General features: G+C 39.1%; 1 long non-coding RNA gene and 1 pseudogene across 1 annotated transcript in view; one reads left to right on the top strand and one right to left on the bottom strand.

Annotated features, from left to right (window-relative positions):
• Window positions 1–636: 636 nt before the first annotated feature.
• The window catches only part of LOC105370531 (LINE-1 retrotransposable element ORF1 protein-like), a 58,110-nt gene continuing 32,382 nt past the window's right edge, over window positions 637–26,364 (bottom strand). Inside the window, exons 3-4 of the long non-coding RNA XR_943934.4 lie at window positions 9,166–9,248; window positions 637–4,797 (exon numbers count right to left, since the gene is read on the bottom strand). This is a non-coding gene — a long non-coding RNA (LINE-1 retrotransposable element ORF1 protein-like). The remainder of the gene's footprint in view (window positions 4,798–9,165; window positions 9,249–26,364) is intronic.
• On the top strand, window positions 4,038–4,972 carry PARP1P2 (poly(ADP-ribose) polymerase 1 pseudogene 2; annotated as a pseudogene).

The raw sequence follows: 26,364 nt of genomic DNA on the forward strand, positions 1-26,364 counted from the left end.
TAATCATGTGGTTTTTGTCTTTGGCTCTGTTTATATGCTGGATTACATTTATTGATTTGCGTATATTGAACCAGCCTTGCATCCCAGGGATGAAGCCCACTTGATCATGGTGGATAAGCTTTTTGATGGGCTGCTGGATTCGGTTTGCCAGTATTTTATTGAGGATTTTTGCATCAATGTTCATCAAGGATATTGGTCTAAAATTCTCTTTTTTGGTTGTGTCTCTGCCCGGCTTTGGTATCAGAATGATGCTGGCCTCATAAAATGAGTTAGGGAGGATTCCCTCTTTTTCTATTGATTGGAATAGTTTCAGAAGGAATGGTACCAGTTCCTCCTTGTACCTCTGGTAGAATTCGGCTGTGAATCCATCTGGTCCTGGACTCTTTTTGGTTGGTAAACTATTGATTATTGCCACAATTTCAGAGCCTGTTATTGGTCTATTCAGAGATTCAACTTCTTCCTGGTTTAGTCTTGGGAGAGTGTATGTGTCGAGGAATGTATCCATTTCTTCTAGATTTTCTAGTTTATTTGCGTAGAGGTGTTTGTAGTATTCTCTGATGGTAGTTTGTATTTCTGAGGGATCAGTGGTGATATCCCCTTTATCATTTTTTATTGTGTCTATTTGATTCTTCTCTCTTTTTTTCTTTATTAGTCTTGCTAGCGGTCTATCAATTTTGTTGATCCTTTCAAAAAACCAGCTCCTGGATTCATTGATTTTTTGAAGGGTTTTTTGTGTCTCTATTTCCTTCAGTTCTGCTCTGATTTTAGTTATTTCTTGCCTTCTGATAGCTTTTGAATGTGTTTGCTCTTGCTTTTCTAGTTCTTTTAATTGTGATGTTAGGGTGTCAATTTTGGATCTTTCCTGCTTTCTCTTGTAGGCATTTAGTGCTATAAATTTCCCTCTACACACTGCTTTGAATGCGTCCCAGAGATTCTGGTATGTGGTGTCTTTGTTCTCGTTGGTTTCAAAGAACATCTTTATTTCTGCCTTCATTTCGTTATGTACCCAGCAGTCATTCAGGAGCAGGTTGTTCAGTTTCCATGTAGTTGAGCGGCTTTGAGTGAGATTTTTAATCCTGAGTTCTAGTTTGATTGCACTGTGGTCTGAGAGATAGTTTGTTATAATTTCTGTTCTTTTACATTTGCTGAGGAGAGCTTTACTTCCAACTATGTGGTCAATTTTGGAATAGGTGTGGTGTGGTGCTGAAAAAAATGTATATTCTGTTGATTTGGGGTGGAGAGTTCTGTAGATGTCTATTAGGTCTGCTTGGTGCAGAGCTGAGTTCAATTCCTGGGTATCCTTGTTGACTTTCTGTCTCGTTGATCTGTCTAATGTTGACAGTGGGGTGTTAAAGTCTCCCATTATTAATGTGTGGGAGTCTAAGTCTCTTTGTAGGTCACTGAGGACTTGCTTTATGAATCTGGGTGCTCCTGTATTGGGTGCATAAATATTTAGGATAGTTAGCTCCTCTTGTTGAATTGATCCCTTTACCATTATGTAATGGCCTTCTTTGTCTCTTTTGATCTTTGTTGGTTTAAAGTCTGTTTTATCAGAGACTAGGATTGCAACCCCTGCCTTTTTTTGTTTTCCATTGGCTTGGTAGATCTTCCTCCATCCTTTTATTTTGAGCCTATGTGTGTCTCTGCACGTGAGATGGGTTTCCTGAATACAGCACACTGATGGGTCTTGACTCTTTATCCAATTTGCCAGTCTGTGTCTTTTAATTGCAGAATTTAGTCCATTTATATTTAAAGTTAATATTGTTATGTGTGAATTTGATCCTGTCATGATGATGTTAGCTGGTGATTTTGCTCATTAGTTGATGCAGTTTCTTCCTAGTCTCGATGGTCTTTACATTTTGGCATGATTTTGCAGCGGCTGGTACCGGTTGTTCCTTTCCATGTTTAGCGCTTCCTTCAGGAGCTCTTTTAGGGCAGGCCTGGTGGTGACAAAATCTCTCAGCATTTGCTTGTCTATAAAGTATTTTATTTCTCCTTCACTTATGAAGCTTAGTTTGGCTGGATATGAAATTCTGGGTTGAAAATTCTTTTCTTTAAGAATGTTGAATATTGGCCCCCACTCTCTTCTGGCTTGTAGGGTTTCTGCCGAGAGATCCGCTGTTAGTCTGATGGGCTTTCCTTTGAGGGTAACCCGACCTTTCTCTCTGGCTGCCCTTAACATTTTTTCCTTCATTTCAACTTTGGTGAATCTGACAATTATGTGTCTTGGAGTTGCTCTTCTCGAGGAGTATCTTTGTGGCGTTCTCTGTATTTCCTGAATCTGAACGTTGGCCTGCCTTGCTAGATTGGGGAAGTTCTCCTGGATAATATCCTGCAGAGTGTTTTCCAACTTGGTTCCATTCTCCACATCACTTTCAGGTACACCAATCAGACGTAGATTTGGTCTTTTCACATAGTCCCATATTTCTTGGAGGCTTTGCTCATTTCTTTTTATTCTTTTTTCTCTAAACTTCCCTTCTCGCTTCATTTCATTCATTTCATCTTCCATTGCTGATACCCTTTCTTCCAGTTGATCGCATCGGCTCCTGAGGCTTCTGCATTCTTCACGTAGTTCTCGAGCCTTGGTTTTCAGCTCCATCAGCTCCTTTAAGCACTTCTCTGTATTGGTTATTCTAGTTATACATTCTTCTAAATTTTTTTCAAAGTTTTCAACTTCTTTGCCTTTGGTTTGAATGTCCTCCCGTAGCTCAGAGTAATTTGATCGTCTGAAGCCTTCTTCTCTCAGCTCGTCAAAATCATTCTCCATCCAGCTTTGTTCTGTTGCTGGTGAGGAACTGCGTTCCTTTGGAGGAGGAGAGGCGCTCTGCGTTTTAGAGTTTCCAGTTTTTCTGTTCTGTTTTTTCCCCATCTTTGTGGTTTTATCTACTTTTGGTCTTTGATGATGGTGATGTACAGATGGGTTTTCGGTGTAGATGTCCTTTCTGGTTGTTAGTTTTCCTTCTAACAGACAGGAACCTCAGCTGCAGGTCTGTTGGAATACCCTGCCGTGTGAGGTGTCAGTGTGCCCCTGCTGGGGGGTGCCTCCCAGTTAGGCTGCTCGGGGGTCAGGGGTCAGGGACCCACTTGAGGCAGTCTGCCCGTTCTCAGATCTCCAGCTGCGTGCTGGGAGAACCACTGCTCTCTTCAAAGCTGTCAGACAGGGACACTTAAGTCTGCAGAGGTTACTGCTGTCTTTTTGTTTGTCTGTGCCCTGCCCCCAGAGGTGGAGCCTACAGAGGCAGGCAGGCCTCCTTGAGCTGTGGTGGGCTCCACCCAGTTCGAGCTTCCCGGCTGCTTTGTTTACCTAAGCAAGCCTGGGCAATGGCGGGCGCCCCTCCCCCAGCCTCGTTGCCGCCTTGCAGTTTGATCTCAGACTGCTGTGCTAGCAATCAGCGAGATTCCGTGGGCGTAGGACCCTCTGAGCCAGGTGTGGGATATAGTCTCGTGGTGCGCCGTTTCTTAAGCCGGTCTGAAAAGCGCAATATTCGGGTGGGAGTGACCCGATTTTCCAGGTGCGTCCGTCACCCCTTTCTTTGACTCGGAAAGGGAACTCCCTGACCCCTTGCGCTTCCCAGGTGAGGCAATGCCTCGCCCTGCTTCGGCTCGCGCACGGTGCGCACACACACTGGCCTGCGCCCACTGTCTGGCACTCCCTAGTGAGATGAACCCGGTACCTCAGATGGAAATGCAGAAATCACCCGTCTTCTGCGTCGCTCACGCTGGGAGCTGTAGACCGGAGCTGTTCCTATTCGGCCATCTTGGCTCCCTCCTCTCTAAGGACAGATTTTAAACTTTCCCAGGAAAGATTTTAAAATCAATTCTCTCTCCCTCTTTTTATTATCCCAATCAGGTCTTTGTCCTATTGTATTCTTTATTTTTTCCTTCACTGATCTCTAGGCTACATTCTACTTGACATCTATACAATTATTTACTTAGTATATTTTATTGATCTATTGTTTTGACTCAAATACATTTATTTTAAAGAAGAACTGGTGGATAGGAAAATATAAACCAAGAGCAAAAGATAGAAAGGCCCATGCCCCGGGTCCACAACCACCAGCTTTGCTGGGATCCTGTCCCAGGGTCTTTGGATAGCCCCGCCTGAAGTGCCCATGACGGGCTACATGTTTGGTAAAGGGATCTATTTCGCTGACATGGCCTCCAAGAGTGCCAACTACTGCCATACATCTCAGGGAGGCCCAACAGGCTTAATCCTGTTGGGAGAAGTTGCCCTTGGAAAATGTATGAACTGAAGCACGCTTCACATATCAGCAAGTTACCCAAGGGCAAGCACAGTGTCAAAGGTTTGGGCAAAACTACCCCTGACCCTTCAGCTAGTATTACTCTGGATGGTGCAGAGGTTCCTCTTGGGACTGGGATTTCATCTGGTGTGAATGACACTTGTCTACTATATAATGAGTACATTGTCTATGATATTGCTCAGGTAAATCTGAAGTATCTGCTGAAACTGAAATTCAATTTTAAGACTTCCTTGTGGTAATTGGGAGAGGTGGCCAAGTCACTCCCGATGGCTCTGGTATAAATTCAGCCGAAGCCCTTCTGCACCAACTCACCTGGCCGGCTAAGTTGCTGATGGGTAGTACCTGTACTAAACCTCCTAAGAAAGGATTTTACAGAAACACATTAAAAGGTTTTCTCCAACTTTTCGAGTCCCTTGTTTTGTGTTGTGTTTGTGGGGAGGGGTTGTTTTGGGGTTGTTTTTGTTTTTTCTTGCCAGGTAGATAAAACTGACATAGAGAAAAGGCTGGAGAGAGATTCCATCCGCATAGACTAGTCCTGTGGAAAAAAAAAAAAAAAACAAGCTCCATTAGAATGTCTGCCTTACTGGTTTCCCCAGGGAAAGAAAAATATGTTTCCACCCTTTTTTCTAAGTGTTCATCTTTAGTTTTGATTTTGGAAAGTTGTTAAGCATTCATTTTTAGTTAAAAATAAAAACTAATTTCATACCATTAAAAAAAAAAAAAGAAAGAAAAGAAAGGCCTGTGCCCCTGGAGTGAGAGGGCAGGGATGAGAAACAGCAAAGGAGGCAGGTGTGAGGCATGTGTTCATTTGGAGCACTGCTATAACAAAGTACCATAGACAGGTGTCTTCAACAACAGAAATATTATTGTCCCACAGTTCTGGAAGCCAAAAATCCAGAACCACGGTGTTGGCAGGGTTCATTCTTTCCTTGAGCTATAAGGAAAGATCTGTTCCCGGCCTCTCTCCTTGGCTTGTGGAGGGCTGTCTTGCCCCGTGTGTCTTCATATCACCTTCTTTCTGCATGTGTCTCTCTCTCCATGTCCAAATTTCCCCTAAGATCTTATAAAGACACCAATCATATTGCATTAGGGCCCACCCTCATGACCTCATTTTAAACTGATTACAGACCTTATCGCCAAATAAGGTCATGTTCTGCAGTACTAGATGTTAGGATTCCAACATCTCTTTTTGGGAGGCTTGGGTCAGAATTTATAGGGAGACACAATCTGACCCATAACAGAAAGAATAGGTCTTTTGGAGAATAGACAAGAATAGAATTGGCATTGCCTGCTGCCCACTGGGTGAGGTCTCTATCTCTTTAATCAGCCCCTTATAATCACCACACTCGAGGAAACTCTTTCCTGCATGTTTTTTGAATTATCACCCCTCTACTCACACCACCCACCTCTCTCCTGACATAACTCAACCAGACCTACATTTTTCTATCTTCTGTTGAATTTCTAGTCACTTAATACACAAAACATTCATTTCTTTCTAACAAAACCAAAGCAATGTCACCACCCATGGGTGCAAGAATGGTATAAACCCCTTCACATCCAGCCCATCAATAGCCCCAATTTGTATAAATGAAGCCAGTAAGTCCCTCCCAGACTCTAAGACCAATCTTTGTCGTACACAAGGAATATCGGTCTAGCCTCAACCATTACTTCTGGTGCCACCCTGATAGAAAACTTCATTTTGTCAGCAATCAACGTCCTGCCTTGAGACCCAGGTTCCCTATGACTGAACCCCTACCCTGTATCCTTTTTATTCTTTAATAAGTTCCTAATTGATGTTCCAGCACCTTATCACTAGATTCTTGTTTGTCCCTTTAAGAGAAGGAGTTACGGCCGAGCATGGTGGCTCACACCTGTAATCCCAGCACTCTGGGAGGCCGACAGGGGTGGATCACCTGAGGTCAGGAGTATGAGACAAGCCTGGCCAACATTGTGAAACCCCATCTCTACTAAAAATACAAAAATTAGCTGAGTGAGGTGGCAGGTACTTGTAATCCCAGCTACTCGGGAGGCTGAAGCAGGAGAATCACTTGAACCTGGGAGGCAGAGGTTGCAGTGAGCCAAGATGGCCCACTGCACTCCAGCCAAGGTAACAGTGCAAGACTCCATCTAAAAAAAAAAAAAAGAAAAAAAGTAACTCCTTCTCTTTTTTGCTTTTTTTCTTTTTTTTTTGAGACGGAGTCTCTCTCTGTCACGCAGGATGGAGTGCAGTGGCAAATTACAATTTTTTAAATCTCTGCCTGCTATCTCAATCTAGACAAGAAATTGTATTCTAGCCCTTGGACTTCATTCTCCTTAGAACTGGCTCACTGATGTAGTTGCCAAAGCTTTATACTATTAAACACCCGTCCCCTTGAAATTCCACCAATTGTTGGTCCTGTCCCCACTTGGATATTGTGGCACCTCCACGTAGAAGGTATACAACAAATGGTTGTTGTTTTTTGAATAGACAGTAATTGATACTGGGTCTTGAATATTTGTTAATGTCACTTCTTCCTCACCAGACCAAGAACCAATAACCCAAAGGACATCTTCCTTCAGACTCACATCATTGACTATCTTTCTCTGGAAAGTCTTACTTTGCTCCCATGTACAAATCCCTGACCTTTGTTGGAATGACAAGTCTCTCCAGACTCAAATTCAGGACTGGGATTCATATCAAGTCTTGTCAGTCCTGGTTAGGTACTGGTCCCTCATGTTCATTATGGTTCCATTTTATGAAGCAATAGAAATTGCTAAGTTCTAAAACAAAGAAATGATCACACATCCTCCAAGTAACCTTAATAATTCCTCTTCAAGTACATCATGTTCTAAGATCACAGAATCACTCCAATAAAGTACAAGAAGAGTGTGCAGTAAAGGTTGAATTCAGGCCTGATTGATCAAGTCCTACACATTCTAAATAGAGGCCCTTCCTTGACAAGCTCCTAGGAGACAACCTCTGAACCCCTGAAATATCCTGCCTAATAAGAGTGTTTTTATACTTCTGAGACCTTGGGCCAGGCTGTATCAGTTTGACCAAATGGTTTTTAACAATGTGACTTGTGGTGAATGCCTATTTTCCTATGCCTGAGGTCTTGGGCCATGCTGGATTTGTTTGATCTCTTGGGAGCTGGACGCTAAGTAGTTAATGTCAGTCCTATGGGTGCTGCATAACCGTGAGCCCACCTGAATCACCGTGAAGCTAAAAATGCTGGACACCAAGGCTCAGGTAAGCTCCTCTGGTTGACATCGCTTTCCATGTGTTGTCACACATTGTTGCTGAGAGAACTAAGTGCATCCCTGTGACTCCACTGGGAAAGGACACCTGGAATCTTGTGCCTGATTTCTCCTTTATCTCCGGATTTTATGGGAAGTACACATGGAAGTGATGTCAACCAGGGGAGCTTACCTGAGCCTTGGTGTCCAGCATTTCTTGGGTGTTTGTTTGTTTGTTTGTTTTTTGAGACAGTCTCTCTCTGTTGCCCAGGCTGGAGTGCAGTGGCACCATCTCGGCTCACTGCAACCTCTGCCTCCTGGGTTCAAGCAATTTTCCTGTCTCAGCCTTCCAAATAGCTGGGACTACAGGCACAAACCACTAAAACTGGCTAATTTTTTTTTTTTTTTTTTTTTTATCTTTAGTTGAGACAGGGCTTCGTCATGTTGGCCAGGCTGGTCTCGAACTCCTGACCTCAGGTGATCTGCCAACCTCACCCCACCCCACCCCACCCCGCAAAGTGCTGAGATTACAGGCATGAGCAACACACCCAGCCAGTGCCCACCATTTCTATCTTTATAATGTTTGAGGTCAGCTCATAGTTATGCAGCACCCATATGACTGATACTAACTACTTAGAGTCTGACCCCTAAGAGATTAAACTGATCCAGCGTGGTCCAAAACCTGAGGCACAGGAAAACAGGCATTCACCACAAGCCACATTGTTAACATAAACCATCTGGTCAAACTGGTAAAAGGTGAATACCTTTTACCTTTGCTGGGATTAATCTGTATCTTTTCACTGTCATAAATAATAACTGTAAGCGTAACAGCTTTTCTGTGTCCCAAAAGTCCTTCTAGAAAATCATCAAGTCTGAAGGTTGGCCCTGGGAACCTCTGGCTGAAAGCCACTTTGAATGAATGTCGAAATGCGTAAAGAATCCAATTATTTTAGTATTTTTGTACCATAGATTTTTGGTACTTAGAACACTTAGACTTTTGTATAGATCTAAACTCACTGCCTTGGTTTTCACCTTTACATCAAATCCTCAAAACAAATCAACTGTCTCTAGACAAATTTTAAATGCCTGAATGCATTGACCAAAAATTCAACCTCTATAGATTTAGCAAAAGAAAGTGCTAACACATATTCACATGGATATGTGTAGAAGGATATTCATTTCTGTATTACTTGTAAAATACCCGAGGCAACTTATATGTCCTTCAACACAGATATGTAACAATACATAGTGGAATATCCTTACTATGGAACATTGTGTAACTGAGAACATATAAGGAGTGCAATCAGGAAAGATTATCGGGGGATAAAAGACAAGTATGCAGAACACAGCTCATTTTTGTAAAAACAAAATAAAATCCTAATTATTTCAGTTGCATACACATAGCAAAAGAGCCTGGAACCTCACCAATCTGATGCCAGTGGGTACCAGAGAGCAAGGAAATAAAATTGGAATAAGAAGACATTTATTCAGTGATATTTAAATATTTTTTAACCAACACATCTTATTTTTGTAATTTTCACAGATTTTAAAATAGCAAACATCTCAATTTTTAACCACTTTGCCTTTATATACAATGCCAAGACCACTTGGTACTTGTCAGCAAAATCCAGTGATGTTAGAATGAGTATTGCACGTAGCTCCACCTCTCCCTCTGGGGAAATCTCACCTGAGCTGTGCTCCTGGATTAGCAGATGTGGTCTGGCTCACCCGCTATGAGAATGGGTGGCTGGAGAGGAGCTGGCAGACATCCTGCAAGAGAACGAGGCTCCTTGATAAGTGCTTTTTTGACCTTACTGTAACTAGTCATAAAGATCTTTGAAAATTAAGGATACATGCCCTCGTTTCCCTTGGTCATTGATATGGTTTGGATTGGTGTCCCCACCCAATCTCATGTCAAATTGTAATCCCCAGTTTGAAGGTAGGACCTGATGGCAGGTGACTAGATCATAGGAATGGTTTCTTATGGATGGTTTGGCACCATCCCTTTGGTGCTGTTCTCATGTTAGTGAGTTCTCAGGAAATCTGGTGGTTTCAAAATGTATGGCACCTCCTCCCTCTCTCTTTCTCTTGATCCTAGCTCCTGCCATGTAAGATGACTGCTTCCCCCTTGCCTTCTGCCATGACTGGAAGCTTCCTGAGGCTCCCCAGAAGCAGAAGCTGCTATGCTTCCTGAACAGCCTGCAGAACTATGAGCCAATTAAACCAGGTTTTTAAATAAATGACTCAGTTTCAGGTATTTCTTGTAACAATGTGAGAATGACCTAATACAGTCATGGAACATCATAAGTAGGAATTCCTCCCACGAGTCCTTTCTTTATACCCTGCGGGGCTGTGGGAGTCCCCACTACCGAAGAGCAGCCTGAGTACTGAGTGTGGGTTGTGAACACTATGGGGTGATAAAGAGTCCCTTTCTTATGTTCCTGCTCAGCCACTGGGTGACGTGACCTTGTGCAAATCCACCCCACTCTAAATCTGTTCTCTTTACCTGTAACAGAAGGATTATGTACAGATCACCTCTAATATCTTTTACAGAACTACAATTCTAATGTATCATCACAGAAAGTTAGCTACACTTTCCTTTGCCTGGACACAGCTTCTTCCCCTCTGTATAGCTATGACTTCCAACCAAATACTCTTGTCGTTCCCACCAAAATAAGGAAAGGGTAGGTTCCTTTGAAAAGAAACAGAATGATTCTGTTGGGAAAGGATCATAACCTATCACACAACTCCTCATCTAACATGAAAATACAGAAATATGTTACATACTGTTACATCTTTAAAATAAAGCTGCCCACTTCATTTTAGTTGTATTACAGAATTCTAATTCTGACACTGCAATTTATGTCTTTTGATGTCTATCAAGAAGATATATTAAAACTCTGGTTAATGAAAAGCAAATGTTTTATATTTATATGACCTCTTTAATCTTTTGCATGAAAAAGGAGGGAACATTAATCTCTGACAAAAGAAGAAGCCTCCGTGTGGAGAGAATAAGGAATAGGTCCCAATGTTAACAGAAATGTTAATTAAAAGAGCTAGTGATCATATTCAATTTCTAGGACCAATTTCTAGATATTCCTAGCATTTATTTTTGTCTCAATTTGAAGTCCCATCAAAAGAAGAAAAACACTCATTTATGGTCTTCATTTTCAGAACAAACTGAGTCTCATTATAAAATGTTCACATTTTTGTACTGCAATTCATCCACTCACAAGAAGGCCAAAGGCAAAAGATTAATGGATCACAAACGACGGCTGCTCTGCATGGCAGAATGATCATCCCCCTCCACCCTGGCATAACACAACATGACCTAGCACCCAGCTCTTCTACAACAAATTGCAACACCCATACTGGACCACTAATACTGTTTTCAAAAAGCTTAATGTTGTGAATTCTTGCATCCTAAAATTCAACATGCATACTGTTTCAATTTATAAATTGTATTCAATTTATAAATGTATACATACTGTTTCAATTACAAACCCCTGAAGATAAGGGTCATGAGAAAATGTTGGCAAAATCTGCTCTGTAGCACTGAATAGCAATTAGTATCAACAATGCTTATGGTGTTTTTGAAGCAGCTTTTGTGTTTCAAATTGTTTACTGAAGGAGTTAATTTTATGTTGAACACCAATAACATTCGGGGAAAAAATAACCTCGAAAACTATTTATATAGCAACCATTAATAAAAATAGCAGTATCATCAGGTGATGTTTTATAAAGCTATAATTAGCTGGTGAGCACATTTATGGAACAGCTGTGATGTAGCAGACCCTGTTAAAATCTGAGATAGGTACAAAATATATAGATGACAGACGTTTTCTTGAAGAAATGTTCCATCTACATGGAGCCCAGCGCATGACAGATAACACTGTAATTTGGTAAGAAAAGGTAAGAAATAGTCTGAAATCAAATTGAGAATGCAAATAGAATGTAAATGCTGAGATTCTATCCAAAGAGGTGTGAACCAACCCAGAAAGCGTTAAGCACATATGGCTACATACTTAGAGTAGCGTGGTTAGGAGGGAGATGAGACTGACAAAACCATTGTACGGCGTAGGGAAAATAGCAAGGATCTCAAGCCTGAAGAAATCTTAAACGACAACAGGAATTTCAGATAGAGATAGGAATAAGCAACTTTTTGGTAAAATCCTTCTGACTAATTCTTCTTTAATCATTGCCTGTGGCAATGAACGAGAAAGATGTTGTCAGTTTAAAGTACCCAGACTGGACACTTAGAGCAAAGATAAGGGTAATGACATTAAGCGTTCATGTTTTCAGGAGATTCCAGAAAAACCTAAATTGCTTGTGATATCTTGGGCTCATATTCATACTTTGGGTTCCACTTCAGAAATTCTAACCGTTATGGAAGAGTAATATCAATTCTACAGATCTTCTGTGATGAATCCCAGAGCAGCCACTTCTCACCTAGTTGGTTTTGCCAAATACTTGTAAATAGTTATACCTGAACCTGAGTCATACAGGAAAGGAAAAGGCTGAAAGTTACTTACATAAATAAATCCTTGATCTCAGCTTCTTTTATTTTACCTTGTTGATTTCACTTAAAGGTGCATTTAAAGGCTTTTGGCAGCAGCCATAAGGGAGAAGCTGGTATTAAATGAATCATTCCACTTAAAAATAAATTATAAGGCTGGGTGCGGTGGCTCATGCCTGTAATCCCAGCACTTTGGGAGGTTGAGGCGGGTGGATCACGAGGTCAGGAGTTCAAGACCAGCCTGGCCAAGATGGTGAAACCCCATCTCTACTAAAAATTCAAAAATTAGCCCAGCATGGTGGCGTGCGCCTGTAATCCCAGATATTCAGGAGGCTGAGGCAGAGAATTGCTTGAACCCAGGAGGCAGAGGTTGCAGAGACCCGATATCGTTATCACTGCACTCCAGCCTGGGCGACAGAGTGAGACTCTGTCTCAAAAATAAATAAATAAATAAATAATAAAACCTGGACAAAATATTTTAAATAACTATTTGTAAGCTTTGGAGGGGAATGAATGAAGGCAGGATGTTAAGAGCTTTGATGTACAAAGGAAGAAAGGTAGAGCTGTGTGAGTTACCAAAAACATACAACCTACCACAATTGAATCTTAAGAAAATTGAACAGACCTATAACAAGTAGACAGATTGAATCAGTAATAAAAGAAAACCTCTCAACAAAGAAAAGCCCAGGATCTGATGGCTTCATTGGTAAATCCTACCAAATATTTTAAGAAGAATTAATACCAATTCTTCTCAAACTCTCCCAAAATATTGAAGATAAGGGAACATTCCAAACTCATTCTACAAGACCAACATTACCCTGACACCAAACCAGACAATACAAGAACACAAAATTATAGGCCAATATCCCCAATGAGCACAGATGTAAAAGTCCTAAACAAAATACTAGCAAGCGAAATTTAATAGGACATTAAAAGAATCATATATGCAATCAAGTAAAATGTATTCCTGGGATATAAGGATGGTATAATATACACAAATCAGTAAATGTGATACATCACATTAAGAGAATGAAGGACAAAAAACATATGATCACCTCAATAAATGCAGAAATAGTGCTTGATGAAATTTCATGATAAAAATTCTCAACAAATCAGATATCGAAAGAATAAATGTACCTCAACTTAATAAAGTCCATATATGACAAGCCCACAGCTAACGTCATAGTCAATAGTGAAAAGCTAAAAACCTTTTTCTGTAAGATCAAGAACAAGACAAGGATGCCTATTCACATGACTTCTATTCAACATAGTACTGGAGGTTTTAGGCAGAGTAATTGGGTAAAAAAAATAAATGAAAGACATCCAAGTTGGAAAAGAAGAAGTAAAATTGCCTCTATTTGCAGATGACATGATCTTATATAGAGAAAACCCTAAAGATTTCATCCAAAAAATTGTTAAATCTAATAAATTCAGTAAAGTTGCAGGATACAAAATCAACATACAAAAACCCCAGTAGTATTTCTATATACTGACAATGAACTACACATAAAAAATTAAGAAAATCCAATGTCCAATAACATCAAAAAGAATAAAATATTTAAGAATACATTTAAATAAGAAATTAAAAATCTATACACTGAAAATTGATGAAATTGAAGAAGGCACAAATAAATGGAAAGATATCCCATGCTCATAGATTGAAATAATTAATATTGTTACAATGTAAGTGCTACCTAAAGCAATCTACAGAGTCAATGCAATCCCTAACAAAATCTAATGTCATTTTTCCAGAAATAGAAAAAAAAAACTCTAAAATTTATGTGGAACCACAAAAGACCCCAAATAGCCAACAAAGCTGAAGGCATCACATTACCTAATTTCAAAATATTCTAAAAAGCTATAATAATCAAAACATTTAGACCAATAAAACAGAATAGAGAGTCCAGAAATAAAGCCACATATTTACAGTCAATTATTCTTTAACAAAGCTGTCAAGAACATACAATGAGTAAAGGACAGTCTCTTTAACACATAGGTCTGGGATAAGTGGATATCTACATGCCAAAAGAATGAAACTGGGCCTTATCTCATATAATATACAAAAATTAACTCAAATGGATTAAAGATTTAAATGTAATACTAGAAACTTAAAACTACTAGAAGTAAACACAGGGAAAAAAAGCTTCTCGTCATTAGGCTAGGCAATAATTTTTTGGATATGACCCCAAAAGCACAAGCAACATGAAAAAATAGACCAATGTGATTGCGTCAAGGTAAAAATCTCACACATAGCAAAGGAAACAACCAAAAGAGTGAAGAGAAAACCTACAGGATAGAAGAAAATACTTTCAAACCACACTCTGGTTTATAAATATTTAAACAGTTAATATCCAAAATACGTAAAGAACTCAAATGACTCAATAGCAAGAAAACAAATAACCCAATTTTAAAAATGGGCAAGGGACCTTAATAGATATCTCCAAAAGAAGCTATAGAAATGGCCAATAGACATATGAAAAAAATGATTAACATTACTAATCATCAGAGAAATGCAATTAAAACCACAATGAGATATCACCTCATGCCTGTTAAAATGGCTATAATCAAAAAGACAAAAGATAGCAAGCATTGGCAAGGAGATGGATGAAAAGGAATTCGTTCATACTGTTTTTGGGAATGTAAATTGGAAAACAGTATGGAAGTTCCTCAAAAAATTAAAATTGAATGACTATATGATCCATCAGTTCCACATCTGGGCATATATCCAAAGGAAATGAACACAGTATGTTGAAGAAATATCTGCACTCCCATGCACTCCCATGTTCACTGCAGCATTATTTACAATAGCCAAGATGTGGAATCAACTTCTGTCCATCAACAGATGAACAGATAAAGAATATGTGATACACACACACACACACACACACACACACACACACAGGAATATTATGCAGCCTTAAAAAAGAAGGAAATCTTGTCATTTATGAAAACATGGATGAAACTGGAGGATACGATGCTAAGTGAAATAAACCAGGTGCAAAAAGACAAATAGTGCATGATCTCACTTACATGTGAAATCTAAAAAATCAAACTCACAGAAGCAGAGAGTAGAATGATAATTACCAGGAGCTGGGGAGAGCAGTTGGGAAATGTGAAGATGTTGGTCAAGGGTACAAAGTTTTGTTTAGACAGGATGACTAAGTTCTGGAAATTTATTGTACAACATTGTGATTATAGTTAATAGTTACATATTGTATATTTGGAAATTGCCGAGAGTGTAGATCTTAAATGTACTTCACCAAAAAAAAGATAACTATGTAAATTGATGGATATATTAATTAGCTTGATTGTGTATTCATTTCACAGTGTATACATATATCAAAACATCACATTGAGCACTAAATACATACGACTTTATGTGTCAATTATGCCTCAATAAGAAAAAAAAGAAATTAAAAACTGCATTCAGCTGTAATACTTCTAGTAGAAATATTGACACTGTTACCTTGAAAATAGAGCAAATAAGAAATGTCAGTAGGAAGTAATATTCTCAGCATGAGAAAAACAGATACAAATATAAAATCAAAATTAGTTGTCTTTTAAATTTTAAAACCCTGTCATCTTTAATGTAAATGAGATATCAGCATGAAATCATTATTTATTTTGTTCTTTCTAAAATACAGATATTCCCTAGTTCCATTCACTAAAAAGGTCTAAAACATCAAATCCAATAAAATTGTAATGTAAGCAACAGGTATAATTATAGATGTTCTAATAGTTACATTTTTAAAAGGTAAAAGAAACTGGTAAAATTCATTTTAATAATATATTTTATTTAATCCAGAATATTCAACATCTTATCATTCTAACATGGAATCAATTTTTAAATGTTAATGAGATATCTTACATTCTTTTTATACCAAGTTTTCAAAATTAAATGTATATTTTTAGACTAACAGAACATTTTAATTTGGATTAGCCACATTTCAAGTGTTCAGTAGCCACATGTGGGTAGAGACTGCTGTACTGAACTTTCAAGGCCAATCCAAGTCTAGATATAAAGAAAACCAAGTAGCTACGAGTACCCCTGGTGACTAAATTGGGGATAACAGAGCAGTGGGAAGGACAAGGGAGAATGAAAATATTCATTTCAGATATTAGTGGTATCATGGTTGGTTTTTTTCCTAATCTTTATCTATTAAAAACACATACTGCATATTTTAGGTTAAATGATACAACGTTTGGCATTAGCATTAAAATATTTAATCAAAAAAGTACAGGAGATAAATGAAACACTCTTTGGAAAATGATAATTGCCAAACCAAGAGATTGGTATGTAAAAATATTTTATGCTCTCTACTTATGCATGCTTGAACATTTTCATATTAAATTTCTTAAAAATGAAATAAAGTAAAAGCGCTTTAAAATATAAAGAGATAAATAGACAATTCAGTTAACCAGTTCCTGATGATCAAATTTTTATGTCACCACTATTAATATTGAATTCTCTTTAAAAAGGGCCATATTGATTATTTTATTATTACATTTTATTAAACTACTTAAAAGTTTTAAAAGTTAATACTGTCCTAACCACAGAATGTTAAAGATTAAATTATGAGTCAAAGACTCAAGTTAATTGTTAGAATAGAAACTTATTAGAAAGCTTACAGAATCTGCAAATCTTTTATTTCCTGGAAAGTGAAACAGCTGTTGAAATGAATCTTATATTAGGTAGGAAATAAAGGAGGGAGAGAAGGAAGGAAGGAAGGAAGGAAAGAAGGAAAGAAGGAAGGAAGGAAAGGAGGGAGGGAGGGAGGGAGGAAGGAAGGAGAGAAGGAAAGGAGGGGGGAAGGAGAAGGGAAGGAGAAGAGACTTCAGAATGTCACACCATTGTCTGGATTTTAACAATGGATCTCAAAATATTGAGATTGCCAAGGTTTTTTAAAAGTTTTTAAACCAAGATAAACTGAGAACGTTGAAGTAATGTCATAACTTCTCTTTATTAAAAATCAATTCTATCCTCAACTGAATAAAGTACATCATACTTAATGGTGAAAGACTGGAAGCTTTCCCAGTATAATCATAAAGAAAACAAAGATGTCCGTTCTCACCACTTCTATTCAACATTCTACTGGAGGTTCTAGTCAGGGCAATAGGCAAGAAAATTAAATAAAAGGCATCCAGATTGGAAAGGAAGAAGTAAGCTTTCTTTACTCAAAGATGACATACATTTTTAGGAAAATCCTAAGGACTCAATTTAAAAACTATTAGAACAAATAAGTTCCACAAGGTTGCAGGGCACAAGATCAATATACAAAACTCGATAGTGTTTCTGTATACTTGAAATGAACAATCCAAAAATAAAATTAAAAAACAATTCCAGGCTGGGCACAATGGCTCATGCCTGTAATCCCAGCACTTTCGAAGGCCAAGGCAGGTGGATCACCTGAGGTCAGGAGTTCGAGACCAGCCTGGCCAACATGGCAAAACGCCATCTCTACTAAAAAATACAAAAGTTAACTGGGCATTGTGGCACATACCTGTAGTTCCAGCTACTTGGAAGGCTGAGGCAAGAGAATCGCTTGAACCCAGGAGGGGGAGGTTGCAGCGGGCTGAGATCAGGCCACTGCACTGCAGCCTGGGTGATGGAGTGAGACTCCAACTCAAAAAAAAAAAAAAAATAAAAAAAATTCATTTACAATAGCTTCAAGAAGGATAAATTACATTTAACAAAAGAAGTGCAAAACGTATACTCTGAAAACTACAAAACACGTTAAAAGAAGTTTTAAATGATTTAAATAAATGGAAAAACATATGTGTCTATGGATAGGAAAACTAGATATTGTTAAATGGCAATAATTCCCAAACTAATCTATAGATTCACACAATCCCTTATGAATTCCCAAATGTCGTTTTTTGCAAACAATGGCAAGCGGATGCTGAAATTCACATGGAAATGCAAGAGATCCAAAATAACCAAAATAACCTTGAATAAAGTTAGACTCACACTTTCTAATTGTAATACATACTACAAGCAATAGTAATCAAGACAGTGTCGTACTGGCAAAGGATAGACACAGATCACTAGAATGCAATTAGAGTATAGCAATAAAGCCATGTACCTATGGTCAACTGATTTTCAACAAGGGTCCAAGACAGTTCAATAGTGGAAAGAATAATGTTTTCAACAAATGGTGCTGGAACAACTGAATATCCACATGCAAAAGAGTGAATTTAAACCCCTACTTCACATCATATACAAAAATTAACTCAACTGGCTCAAATACCTAAATGTTAGAGTTAAAACTATAAAACTCATACATGAAAACATAAGCATAAATCTTTGTGACTTTGTGATCTCAGATATAATACCAAAAACAAAAACAATGAAAGAAAAAATAGGTAAGCTGGACTACGTCAGAATTAAAAACTTTCGTACTTCAAAAGATATTATCAAGAAAGTGGAAACACAACTCACAGAACTGAAGAAAATATTTTGAAATAGTGTATCTGCTAATGTACCAGTATCCAAAATATATAACCCAACTAAGAAATACCAAATCTGAAAAAACATTTCCTCGAAGAAGAAACACAAATGGCCAGTAAACACACGAAAAGGGGTTCAACATCATTAGTTACTACAGAAATGCAAATCAAAAAAAGAACGTGTGTGCAAGCATCTTTTTCGTATAATGACTTCTTTTCCTCTGAATAGATACCCAGTAGTGAAATTGCTGGATCAAATGGTAGTTCTATTTTTTTGTTTGTTTGTTTGAGATGCAGTTTCACTCTTCTTGCCAAAGCTGGAGTGAAACGACATGGTCTCAGCTCACTGCAGCCTCCGCCTCCCAGGTTCAAGCAATTCTCCTGCCTCAGCCTCCCGAGTAGCTGGGATTACAGGTGTGCGCCACCAAGCCAGGCTGATTTTTTGTATTTTTAGTAGAAACGAGGTTTCACCATATTAGCCAGGCTGGTCTTGAACTCCTGACCTCAAGTAATCCACCCACCTCGGCCTCCCAAAATCCTGGGATTACAGGCGTGAGCCACTATGCCCAGCCAGTAGTTCCACTTTTAAAACTACAAATCAGGTTCGGTATTTGAGCAAATACTGCTCCAGTGATGAGTATACCAAAATCTCACAAATCACCACTAAAGAACTTACTCCTGTAACCAAACACCACCTGTTCTCCAAAAACATATGGAAACAAAACAAATTTTTTAAAAAAGAACAATAGTCAAGGTGGGAATGTTGAATAGCACTGTACTGGCATAAAAACAGTGAAAAAAAAAAACTCTTTTGCATAGTCACTTTGTAAGAGTTTGGCAGTTATTCAAAAAATTAAACAGTTACCATATGACCCAGCAATTTCACTACTAGTAACATACCCAAGAGAATTGAAAATATATATTCACACAACTACATGTACATGAATGTTCACAGCAGCATTATTCTTAACAGCTAAGAGCAGAAACAATCACAATGTTCATCAACTGATGAATGGATACACAAAATGTAATATATCCACACAATGGAATATTTTTCATCCATAAACATGCTACAACATGGATGAACCTTGAAAACATTGTGCTAATTGACAGAAGCCAGACAAACTGTGCAGAATAGGCAAATCCATAGTGATAAAAAGTACACTGGTGGATGCCAGGAGCTTCAAGAAGGAGAGAATGAGGACTGACTGCTAATGTGTACAGGGTTTCTTCTGGGTGTGAAAAAAGAAGACAGTGGTGATTATTGCACACTTTGTAAATATACTATAATAAAATCCTATGTGAAGTATATCCCCCAAAAAATCAATTCTATGTCTACCAGATATAGAATTGACTCTACCTTTTAGTTTCTATAGAGAAAAAATATTCATCCCTGCACTTCCAAAGCCTGAGATATCTGTTTCAGTGTCCATCCTTATCTCAGGGTTTCAATTTTTTAAATTATTCATTATTCATTTTCTTTCTAAAATATTTATATACCATCAAAACTGAAGTGCATGATACATTTTCATTGTGTAGTCCTCTTTATAAGTAGTACATTTTATTATTAATTGACATAATTGTATTCATTTATGAGGTACCATGTGATTTTTTTTATACTTTAAGTTCTGGGGTACATGTGCACAACGTGCAGGTTTGTTACATATGTATTCATGTGCCATGTTGGTGTGCTGCACCCATTAATTCATCATTTATATTAGGTATATCTCCTCATGCTTTCCCTCCCCCTGCCCCCCTCCCCCCACCCCACAACAGGCCCTGGTGTGTGATGTTCTGCTTCCCATGTCCAAGTGCTTTCATTGTTCAATTCCCACCTATGAGTGAGAACATGCGGTGTTTGGTTTTTTATCCTTGCAATAGTTTGCTGAGAATGATGGTTTCCAGCTTCATCCATGTCCCTACAAAGGACATGAACTCATCCTTTTTTATGGCTGCATAGTATTCCATGGTGTATATGTGCCACACTTTCTTAATCCACTCTATCATTTATGGACATTTGGGTTGGTTCCAAGTTTTTGCTATTGTGAATAGTGCCACAGTAAACATACGTGTGCATGTGCCTTTATAGCAGCATGATTTATAATCCTTTGGGTATATACCCAGTAATGGGATGGCTGGGTCAAATGGTATTTCTAGTTCTAGATCCTTGAGGAATCGCCTCACTGTCTTCCACAATGGTAGAACTAGTTTACAGTCCCTCCAACAGTGTAAAAGTGTTCCTATTTCTCCACATCCTCTCCAGCACCTGTTGTTTCCTGACTTTTTAATGATTGCCATTCTAACTGGTGTAGATGGTATATCACTGTGGTTTTGATTTGGATTTCTCTGATGGCCAGTGATGATGAGCATTTTTTCATGTGTCTGTTGGCTGCATAAATGTCTTCTTTTGAGAAGTGTCTGTTCATATCCTTCGCCCACTTGTTGATGGGGTTGTTTGTTTCTTTCTTGTACATTTGTTTGAGTTCTTTGTAGATTCTGGATATTAGCCCTTTGTCAGATGAGTAGGTTGCCTGTTCACTCTGATGGTAGTTTCTTTTGCTGTGCAGAAGCTCTTTAGTTTAATTAGATCCCATTTGTCAATTTTGGCTTTTGTTGCCATTACCTTTGGTGTTTTAGACATGAAGTCCTTGCCCATGCCTATGTCCTGAATGGTATTGCCTAGGTTTTCTTCTAGGGTTTTTATGGTTTTAGGTCTAACATTTAAGTCTGTAATCCATCTTGAATTAATTTTTGTATAAGGTGTAAGGAAGGGATCCAGTTTCAGCTTTCTACATATGGCTAGCCAGTTTTCCCAGCACCATTTATTAAATAGGGAATCCTTTCCCCATTGCTTGTTTTTGTCAGGTCTGTCAAAGATCTGATGGTTGTAGATGTGTGGTATTATTTCTGAGGGCTCTGTTCTGTTCCGTTGGTCTATATCTCTGTTTTGGTACCAGTACCATGCTGTTTTGGTTACTGTAGCCTTGTAGTATAGTTTGAAGTCAGGTAGTGGGATGCCTCCAGCTTTGTTCTTTTGGCTTAGGATTGTCTTTAAAGTATGGGCTCTTTTTTGGTTCCATATGAACTTTAAAGTAGTTTTTTCCAATTCTGTGAAAAAAATCATTCGTAGCTTGATGGGGATGGCATTGAATCTATAAATTACCTTGGGCAGTATGGCCATTTTCACGATATTGATTCTTCCTATCTATAAGCATGGAATGTTCTTCCATTTGTTTGTATCCTCTTTTATTTCGTTGAGCAGTGGTTTGTAGTTCTCCTTGAAGAGGTCCTTCACATCCCTTGTAAGTTGGATTCCTAGGTATTTTATTCTCTTTGAAGAAATTGTGAATGGGAGTTCACTCATGATTTGGCTCTCTATTTGTCTGTTATTGGTGTATAAGAAAGCTTGTGATTTTTGCACATTGATTTTGTATCCTGAGACTTTGCTGAAGTTGCTTATCAGCTTAAGGAGATTTTGGTCTGAGACAATAGGGTTTTCTAAATATACAATCATGTCATCTGCAAACAGGGACAATTTGACTTCCTCTTTTCCTAATTGAATACCCTTTATTTCTTTCTCCTGCCTGATTGCCCTGGCCAGAACTTCTAACACTATGTTGAATAGGAGTGGTGAGAGAGGGCATCCCTGTCTTGTGCCAGTTTTCAAAGGGAATGCTTCCAGTTTTTGCCCATTCAGTATGATATTGGCTGTGGGTTTGTCATAAATAGCTCTTATTATTTTGAGAAATGTCCCATCAATACCTAATTTATTGAGAGTTTTTAGCATGAAGCGTTGTTGAATTTTGTCAAAGGCCTTTTCTGCATCTATTGAGATAATCATGTGGTTTTTGTCTTTGGTTCTGTTTATATGCTGGATTACGTTTATTGATTTGCATATGTTGAACCAACCTTGCATCCCAGGGATGAAACCCACTTGATCATGGTGGATAAGCTTTTTGATGTGCTGCTGGATTCAGTTTGCCAGTATTTTATTCAGAATTTTTGTATCAATGTTCATCAGGGATATTGGTCTAAAATTCTCTTTTTTTGTTGTGTCTCTGCCAGGCTTTGGTATCAGGATGATGCTGGCCTCATAAAATGAGTTAGGGAGGATTCCCTCTTTTCCTATTGATTGCAATAGTTCAGAAGGAATGGTACCAGCACCTCCTTGTACCTCTGGTAGAATTCGGCTGTGAATCCATCTGGTCCTGGACTTTTTTTGGTTGGTAAGCTATTAATTATTGCCTCAATTTCAGAGCCTGTTATTTGTCTATTCAGGGATTCAACTTCTCCCTGATTTAGTCTTGGGAGGGTGTATGTGTCAGGAATTTATCCATTTCTTCGAGATTTTCTAGTTTATTTGCGTAGAGGTGTTTACAGTATTCTCTGATGGTAGTCTGTATTTCTGTGGGATTGATGGTGATATCCCCTTTATCATTTTTTATTGCATCTATTTGATTCTTCTCTCTTTTCTTCTTTATTAGTCTTGCTGGTGGTCTATCAATTTTGTTGATCTTTTCAAAAAACCAGCTCCTGGATTCATTGATTTTTTGAAGGGTTTTTTGTGTCTCTATCTCGTTCAGTTCTTCTCTGATCTTAGTTATTTCTTGACTTCTGCTAGCTTTTGAATGTGTTTGTCTTGCTTCTCTACTTCTTTTAATTGTGATATTAGGGTGTCAATTTTAGATCTTTCCTGCTTTCTCTTGTGGGCATTTAGTGCTATAAATTTCCGTCTACTCACTCGTTTAAATGTGTTCCAGAGATTCTAGTATGTTGTGTCTTTGTTCTCATTGGTTTCAAAGAACATCTTTATTTCTGCCTTCATTTTGTTATGTACACAGTATTCATTCAGGAGCAGGTTGTTCAGTTTCCACGTAGTTGAGCGGTTTTGAGTGAGTTTCTTAATCCTAAGTTCTAGTTTGATTGCACTGTGGTCTGAGAGACAGTTTGTTATAATTTCTGTTTTTTTACATTTGCTGAGGAGTGCTTTACTTCCAACTATGTGGCCAATCTTGGAATAAGTGTGATGTGGTGCTGAGAAGAATGTATATTCTGTTGATTTGGGGTGGAGAGTTCTGTGGATGTCTATTAGGTCCACTTGGTGCAGAGCTGAGTTCAATTCCTGGATATCCTTGTTAACTTTCTGTCTTGTTGATCCGTCTAATGTTGACAGTGGGGTGTTAAAGTCTCCCATTATTATTGTGTGGGAGTCTAAGTCTCTTTGTAGATCTCTAAGGACTTGCTTTATGAATCTGGGTGCTCCTGTATTGGGTGCATATATATTTAAGATAGTTAGCTCTTCTTGTTGAATTGATTCCTTTACCATTATGTAGTGGCCTTCTTTGTATCTTTTGATCTTTGTTGGTTTAAAGTCTGTTTTATCAGAGACTAGGATTGCAACCCCTGCCTTTTTTTGTTTTCCATTTGCTTGGCAGATCTTCCTCCATCCCTTTAGTTTGATCCTATGTGTGTGTCTGCACGTGAGATGGCTCTCCTGAATACAGCACACTGTTGGGTCTTGACTCTTTATCCAATTTGCCAGTCTGTGTCTTTTAATTGGAGCATTTAGCCCATTTACATTTAAGGTTAATATTGTTATGTGTGAATTTGATCCTGTCATTATGATGTTAGCTGGTTACTTTGCTCATTAGTTGATGCAGTTTCTTTCTACCATCGACGGTCTTTACAATTTGGCATGTTTTTGCAGTGGCTGGTACCAGTTGTTTCTTTCCATGTTTAGTGCTTCCTTCAGGAGCTCTTGTAGGGCAGGCTTAGTGGTGACAAAATCTCTCAGCATTTGCTTGTCTGTAAAGGATTTTATTTCTCCTTCGCTTATGAAGCTTAGTTTGGCTGAATATTAAATTCTGGGTTGAAAACTCTTTTCTTTAAGAATGTTGAATGTTGGCCCCCACTCTCTTCTGGCTTGTAGAGTTTCTGCCCAGAGATCTGCTGTTAGTCTGATGGGCTTCCTTCTGTGGGTAACCTGACCTTTCTCTTTGGCTGCCCTTAATATTTTTTCCTTCATTTCAACTTTGGTGAATCTGACAATTATGTGTCTTGGAGTTGCTCTTCTCGAGGAGTATCTTTTTGGTGTTCTCTGTATTTCCTGAATTTGAATGTTGGCCTGCCTTGCTAGATTGGGGAAGTTCTCCTGGATAATATCCTGCCGAGTGTTTTCCAACTTGGTTCCATTCTCCCTATCACTTTCAGGTACACCAATCAGACGTAGATTTGGTCTTTTCACACAGTCCCATATTTCTTGGAGGCTTTGTTCATTTCTTTTTACTCTTTTTTCTCCAAACTTCTCTTCTCGCTTCATTTCACTCATTTGATCTTCAATCACTGATACCCTTTCTTCCAGTTGATCGAATCAGCTACTGAAGCTTGTGCATTCATCACATAGTTCTCGTGCCATGGTTTTCAGCTCATCAGGTCATTTAAGGACTTCTCTACACTGGTTATTCTAGTTAACCATTCATCTAATCTTTTTTCAAGGTTTTTAGCTTCTTTGCATTGGGTTCGAACTTCCTCCTTTAGCTCGGAGAAGTTTGATCGTCTGAAGCCTTCTTCTCTCAACTCGTCAAAGTCGTTCTCCATCCAGCTTTGTTCCATTGCTGGCGAGGAGCCGCGTTCCTTTGGAGGGGGAAAGGAGCTCTGATTTTTAGAATTTTCAGCTTTTCTGCTCTGTTTTTTCCCCATCTTTGTGGTTTTATCTACCTTTGGCCTTTAATGATGGTGACGTACAGATGGGGTTTTGGTGTGGATGTCCTTTCTGTTTGTTAGTTTTCCTTCTAACAGTCAGGACCCTCAGCTGCAGGTCTGTTGGAGTTTGCTGGAGGTCCACTCCAGACCATGTTTGCCTGGGTATCAGCAGCGGAGGCTGCAGAATAGCAGATATTGCTGAACAGCAAATGTTGCTGCCTGATCATTCCTCTGGAAGCTTCATCTCAGAGGGGTACCCGGCCGTGTGAGGTGTCAGTCTGCCCCTACTGGGAGGTGCCTCCCAGTTAGGCTACTCGGGGGTCAGGGACCCACTTGAGGAGGCAGTCTGTCCATTCTCAGATCACAAACTCCATGCTGGGAGAACCACTACTCTCTTCAAAGCTGTCAGACAGGGACATTTAAGTCTGCAGAGGTTTCTGCTGCCCTTTGTTTGGCTATGCCCTGCCCCCAGAGGTGGAGTCTACAGAGGCAGGCAGGCTTCCTTGAGCTGCGGTGGGCTCCACCCAGGTCGAGATTCTGGGCCACTTTGTTTACCTACTCAAGCCTCAGCAATGGCGGGCGCCCCTCCCCCAGCCTCGCTGCTGCCTTGCAGTTCGATCTCAGAGTGCTGTGCTAGCAATAAACGAGGCTCCGTGGGCGTGGGACCCTCCAAGCCAGGCATGGGATATAATCTCCTGGTGTGCCATTTGCTAAGACTTTTGGAAAAGTGCAGTATTAGGATGGGAGTGACACGATTTTCCAGGTGCCATCTGTCACCCCTTCTCTTGGCTAGGAAAGGGAATTCCCTGACCCTTTGCACTTCCTGGGTGAAGCGATGCTTTGCCCTGCTTCGGCTCACACTTGGTGGGCTGCACCCACTGTCCTGCCTCCACTGTCTGACGAGCCCCAGTGAGATGAACCCAGTACCTCACTTGGAAATGCAGAAATCACCCATCTTCTGTGTCACTCATGCTGGGAGCTGTAGACTGGAGCTGTTCCTATTTGGCCATCCTCTAATGGACCGTGATATTTTGATATACATATACAATGCATACTGATCAAATTAGAGTAATTAGTACACCTCAAACGTTTATCATTTCTTTGTGTTGGGAACATTCAAATTCTTTTCTTCTAGCAATTGGAAAATATACAATAAATCATTATTAACTATAGTCACCCTGTAGTGCTATAAAACATTAGAATGTATTCCTCCTAATTAGA

Source organism: Homo sapiens, chromosome 14, assembly GCF_000001405.40.
Source record: "Homo sapiens chromosome 14, GRCh38.p14 Primary Assembly".
Classification (NCBI taxonomy): domain Eukaryota; kingdom Metazoa; phylum Chordata; class Mammalia; order Primates; family Hominidae; genus Homo; species Homo sapiens.